This window comes from Homo sapiens, chromosome 10 (genome assembly GCF_000001405.40).
Source record: "Homo sapiens chromosome 10, GRCh38.p14 Primary Assembly".
NCBI lineage: Eukaryota > Metazoa > Chordata > Mammalia > Primates > Hominidae > Homo > Homo sapiens.
The window spans coordinates 35,698,932-35,704,931 of record NC_000010.11 but is presented as its reverse complement, the minus strand read 5'-3'; the positions used below and the strand labels follow the sequence as shown (position 1 = coordinate 35,704,931).

Sequence of the window (6,000 nt, the reverse complement as noted above, 5' to 3'; positions counted from 1 at the left end):
AATTATCTGAGCATAGCAATTAACAACAACCAAATATCCTTATACTTAGCTTCATTTTAATTCTATATTTATATTCTTTGCACGCTTCCTAATTTTTCAGTCATGAAAACAAGCCCTATCAATGTTAAATTTATTTTAGGAATAATTAAATATATTCTTAAGGGCTTACATTATTCAAATAGTATTCTATGCTTGAATGTGTCCTGAGTAATGAATTCATTTATGTGCCTTGAGAATACAGTGATTGTAATTTAATAACTATAAAATTCTCTCTCTCTAAGCAGACAGAGACAGAGAAATGCTCTATTACATTATTGTATTAAGCTCATGGTCAAATTATAGCTATATAATAAAAAACATATTTCTGTGTAGACCATTGAATACTATTAAATTTGAATAGGAAATTTTTGGCACAAAAAAACCAATACCTGTAGAACACAGCACAATAGCTTTCTGAACTATTTGCTTATCTTTATGCCAATATACAGCAATTCCCTGTCTGTTCCAGTATTTTCCCATTCAGTTATAGGTCTAAAATTCTTGAACTTTTCACCACTTCCTCTGGTAGCATAGTAGAAAGCAGAGCAATATATAGATTTTGCTGTAATTTACTCTGGATTTTGTAGGGGAAAACTTGCTCAAAAATTTGTGTGCGTGTGTGTGTGTGTAATTACAACATGTGCGGGGGTGGGTGTGTATTAGTGTGTATGTTTTGGTGTGTGTGTCTATTGCTCTGGCGGTGTTGGTGTGTGTGTGTTGGTGGGCACGTGTACTGTGTGTGTGTTAGGGTTGTGTTGGAGGGGTGTGTGTACATGCGAATGTATGTTTGGTGTGTGCATGGGTACACGTGTATGTTGGTGAGTATGTGTGTTGGGGTATGTGCATTGGTCTGTGCGTGTGTTGGAGGTGTGTTGGTGTGTCTGTTGATACATGTGTATGTGTGTGCGTATGTGTGTTGGCATGTACATGTGTGTGTTGGAGGGTGTTGGTGTGTGTGTGTTGGGATGTGCATATTGGGGTGTATGTGTGTTGACATGTTTGTGTTGGGTGTGTGTGTGCAAGTGTGATGGGAAATGGATAATCCACCAGGTGCTAGCTCAAGAAAGTATATAGTCTTGGCAACTTGCATGTAGGTTTCCAGACTAATAATGTAATTTATAAAGTGCATATGAGATTACATCTTTGACAAAAGCCTCTCTAAGAAAGGTTTTGTTTCTAGGAAAGGTATTGTTTCAATACATTTTAAATGTTACACAAAAACAAAAATGGCTCCACAAAATCAGAATGAAGTCCAAGAGTTTAATGTAAGTCATCATATTTTGAGGGTAAAAAAAAGCGTTCAGGAAAGCCCCCTTTTACGCGGGGCAAGCCCTAAGGAGTGACCCTGTTCACACACTGAACAGGGGCCAATGCCCTCGCTGGAAAGTGAGCATGAAGATGGGAAGGAACTGTCACAGATGAGATGCAAAAGCTGGAAAACGGGCCCAGAGCTCTAACTGGCTGTGGTTGATTGACTATCAAAGACATCATGTCTAATTTTTGCCTCCCTATTTTGAAAGGGAAGATACAAAGGAAGATATGGAGAAGGCTAACTAATCTGACCACAGATGCAGAAAACACGCCCTAAGGAAAGAAAACACAAAACTGTTAGACAGAGGAATAAGTTCTAGTGTTTGATAATACAGTAGGCAAATTGTAGTTAGCAATAATTTATTATATATTTCAAAAGAGCTACAAGAGGAGATTGGAATGTTCCCACCACAAAGATAAGATAAATGTTAAGTGATGCACTTCCCTACTACCCTGATTTTATCATTACACATTGTATACAGGCATCAAAATATCACATGTACCCTATAAGTATGTACAACAATGATATACCAATTAAAACAAGAAAAGAAGGAAGAAAATGCAGATGGCATTGCTTCACCTGGATGTAGATCTGGTTTCTCCTAAAGTCTAAGAGAATCTGATTTCTCCTAAAGTCTAGAGAAGGCAGTGATGCTGTGAGCCTGCCTTACAGTGGGGGAGAGATTGAGAGGACAGACACAGATTTGCACACTGATGGAGGTGTTGTCTAGGGGTTCAGTGTAGAAGGGGCAGGGACATCCTGTTAGAGAGCTTCCAACCAGATCAGGATCCCCACAGAAAGCCTTAAACTCAGGTGTTAGTTTTCTGATAAGAATGGGTTTACATGAAATACTATGTACCCATGAAAAACAGTGAAATCACGCCCTTTGTAGAAACATGAATAAAGCTGAAGGCCATTATCCTAAATGAACTAACTAGAAAACAGAAAATCAAATACTTCATGTTCTCACTTATAGGTGCGGGCTAAACAATGGGTACACATGGACGTAAAAGATGGAAATAATAGGCCGGGAGCAGTAGCTCATGCCTGTAATCCCGGCACTTTGGGAGGCTGAGGAAGGAGGATGGTTTGAACCCAGGAGTTCAAGACCACCCTGGACAACATAGTGAGACCCCACCTCTTTAAAATTAGCCAGGCAGGGTGGTGCACATCTCTGTTCCCAGCTACTCAGGAGACTGAAGTAGGAGGATCGCTTGAGCCCAGGAGATCAAGACTGCAGTGAGATATGATCGTGCCACTAAACTCCAGCCTGGATGGCAGAGCAAGACCCTATCTTGGAAAAAAAAAAAGTAAAGACGTAAATAATAGACACTGGGGACTCTAGAAGGGGGAGGGTTGAAAAATTACCTGTTGGGTGCAATGTTCACTACTTGGGTAATGGATATACTTGAAGCCCAATCCTCACCAGTATGCAATATACCCATGTAACAGACATGCATGTGTACCCCCTAAATCTAAAATAAAATACAGAATGGGTTAAGTGAGGCATCAAGACGTGGTGCTGCAGAAGTCAGCGCTACACTGATCTACAGCAAGCAATGGCCTGGGGGCTCTGAGGTTTTAAAGACAGATAGCTGGGACTGCACCTCAGCTCTGCTGCTCACTAACTGAGGAAATTCAGACAAGGGGTTTCCCCGCTCTGTGGATCCATTCCCTTATCTGTAATATGAGGATAAGGATCACTCACACCTCCTGGGATGGCTGTGAAAATAAACGAGTCCGTGTCTAGAAAACACTCACCCAGGACATGGCACCTGGTGGGGCCACAGTCAGGTAGGGTATGATTTTGCTCTACAGTCAACTGCGGATGGGTGGCAAAATACCAAAATAAGATTCAGGGGATTTCCAGGAACATTCTATATAGTTGATTTGCCAACAATGCAAGTGATGAATAAGGACAATTCTCCACCAGCAGTGGTGGCATGACATGAGCCCTGCATTGGAAGTCAGAAGAGCTGCATTCAGGTTCTGGGGCCATCCCATGTCACGGAGGCAGTGAGCAAGGCACTCCATCTCTCTGAGCCTGGGTTTCCACATCTCTGCTCTATTTATCTCAGGGTTGTTGTGAGAATCAAATAAAAATCTGTCTTCATCATCCACCTGGTGCCAATTACCGCACCACGGCCTGGGGCTGCTCCGGAGGGGGCAGGCAGTGGGGATCAGCAGAGGCCCCTGGGTACAGGGCAGCATCCGAAGTCAGCGCCAGGTGCTACAGTGACAAAGGAAGCTGCAAGGCACTGTGCAAACGTCAGCTGCTGATGTGCATGTCGCCATTTCTAGGGCATGACTGCAAGGTAATCGGCAAGAAAGAAACTTTGAAAAGTGCTTTCAGGTTCAAAGTATGATCTATCTAAGGTAAACAGGCTGAGTGCTTAGCAGACGTGCTCAAATTCACCTGTGAAACCAACCAGACCAGGAAGACTTCCTCGGGGATACACAGATGTGGATTAATGGAGGCACTGGGACTCTTACAACCCCTGGTAAATTTAAGGCTTAGTACTGATGGTATTGATGCGGCTCCGATGAGTGCAGGAACACCAGGGCTCTTGTCTTGCACGATTTAGGTAAAACGACATGGACACACGTGGAGTGATTTTAAGGAGCAGGGAGTTTAATAGGCAGGAAAGAGGGGAGAACAAAGAAAGAAGCAGCTCACCTATACAGAGACAGAGGGAGAGGGGCTCCAAAGCCAAGAGAGGAGACCCCGCGTGCGGGGGATACCAGATAGTTATATAAGGAGGCTAGAGGAGGCGGTGTCTGGTTTGCATAGGGCTCAGGGGATTGGTTTGACCTGGCATGTCATTCACTTAGCCCGCGAAAAAACTGGCCCTCCCACCCTAGTCTTTTAGTATGCAAATACAGGGCTGCCATGATGTTCTACACACGTGGGGTTATGTGGGGACAACCATGCTGCTAGGCACTTGTAGGCGCAAGGTCAAGAGGACAACGGTGGAAATCGCCATGTTGGGTGTACCCAGTTTCTAATGGCTGGTATTTGCATATTAAAGGTTGCCGCCCTGGCTCTAAGAGCCAAGGCTTTCCTGCTAGACAAGAAACTTTTCTGGAGCGGCTTTAAAAGAGATGAAAATTTTCCAAGGAGCCCTTTTCCTCTCTATCTGCCTAAAATTATTTCTTAATAACTTCTATTATAGTATAGATTTCTCCACTAGCTAACCTGATGTTTTTCTTCTAACTTTCTTTCGGTGCAGCTTCAGTTATTCCTTCCAGTTTTGTCCTCTCCCTCCACATGACTGGCTAGCCAGGTCACACTGGATGAATAGTTCACTCTCGCTCAATACCTCCTGTTTGACATATATGAACTAGAGGTGGCTCATACCTGTCCCAAACATATATAGAATATATTTGACATCCTTGAGACGGCAAAATGTTTCTCCCTAGGAAGAGAATTCATGTAGCATTAAGAAAGAAACTCTACAGTGTCCTGGAAAATTTATCAACCTAAACAGTGAGACCCACCAGATGGAGCAAATAGAATCATTCCCTGGAGGCTTTCAGAAGCAAAGGAAATTGCTACCCTTGAGAAACGCCCTTGCCGCTGCTATAATATTTATTTCAGTCTTGCTCAAAAAGTATTTAGGTCATTTGCTGCAATCAATAGAATTCTCCATTAGTGTGAGGAAAGTTGCATTCTAAGATTCAGGGAAATCTAAAATACCCTCAAGGAATATTAAGCAGCTCACACAGGTCTACTCCTGGAAACTTATTTACTGTGACAGTGTATAAATGTTTTAAAACACTTGGCTGCCAAATATTAGTCCGCATTATGGACAACTTAAACAAAGAAAGTCACCCCGGCTAGGTTCCACCAGTTTCTATGCTCTGACCTGGGGAGAATGGAAAGGTTGGGGGAAGTGGAATCAGACCATTCTAGCTCAAAAGAGGAGCTCATTCTAGCTCAAAAAGCCTTCCTGCTTCTGGTGACTGGCTGCCTTCCCAATTATTAATGAAGAAAGACTCCTTTTTTCCATTTCCTAATGATGTCCACAGTTGAAGTGCAAACTGACTACAGCTGAGTATTTAAGTGGAATATTTCAAGGACATTTATCATAAGTGGATACAGAGACCAGGCTCCTGTTTCAGCTTCAAGTTTTAAATGTCAAACACCTGGAGACATAATTACTCAACGTTAAAATCATTCTATGAGTTCATTGCTCTGGTTCAGGGAAAGTCAAACTAGTAAGTTACATTCAAGACACCATTAGGGTGAGGAAGGAGGGGTTGAGGGCTGTTGGAGGGCAAGGCAGGAGGAGTCCACACTACGTCTTTAACCAGAGAGCCCTCTTGCCCCTTTACACATAGTGAATGTGTAATGCCCCATTAGTATATATCTCAGATGAGAAGAATGAAGGATTTCCTATGTATTCAAGGAATCAGAGGTACAAGCGACTGAAAATTTACTGACAGTAATGTCATATATAATTTGGACATGAAAAATTTTCTAGTGGGACAGGGATTTTAATATTAAGACAGCAGCTTCTGGCCAGGTGCTGTGGCTCACGCTTGTAATCCTAGCACTTTGGGAGCCAAGGCGAGAGTATCACCTGATGTCAGGAGTTCAAGACCAGCCTGGCCAACATGGTGAAACCGTGCCTCTACTAAAAATACAA

At 42.8% G+C, this 6,000-nt stretch overlaps 1 annotated feature.

Moving 5' to 3' along the window:
• Window positions 3,041-3,548: an enhancer, noted in NCBI's record as "H3K4me1 hESC enhancer chr10:35990312-35990819 (GRCh37/hg19 assembly coordinates)". NCBI's record gives its function as "activates a minimal SCP1, AML or CMV promoter by ChIP-STARR-seq in primed H9 embryonic stem cells {active_cell/tissue: H9 hESC(primed)}" and the evidence as "EXISTENCE:reporter gene assay evidence [ECO:0000049][PMID:30033119]".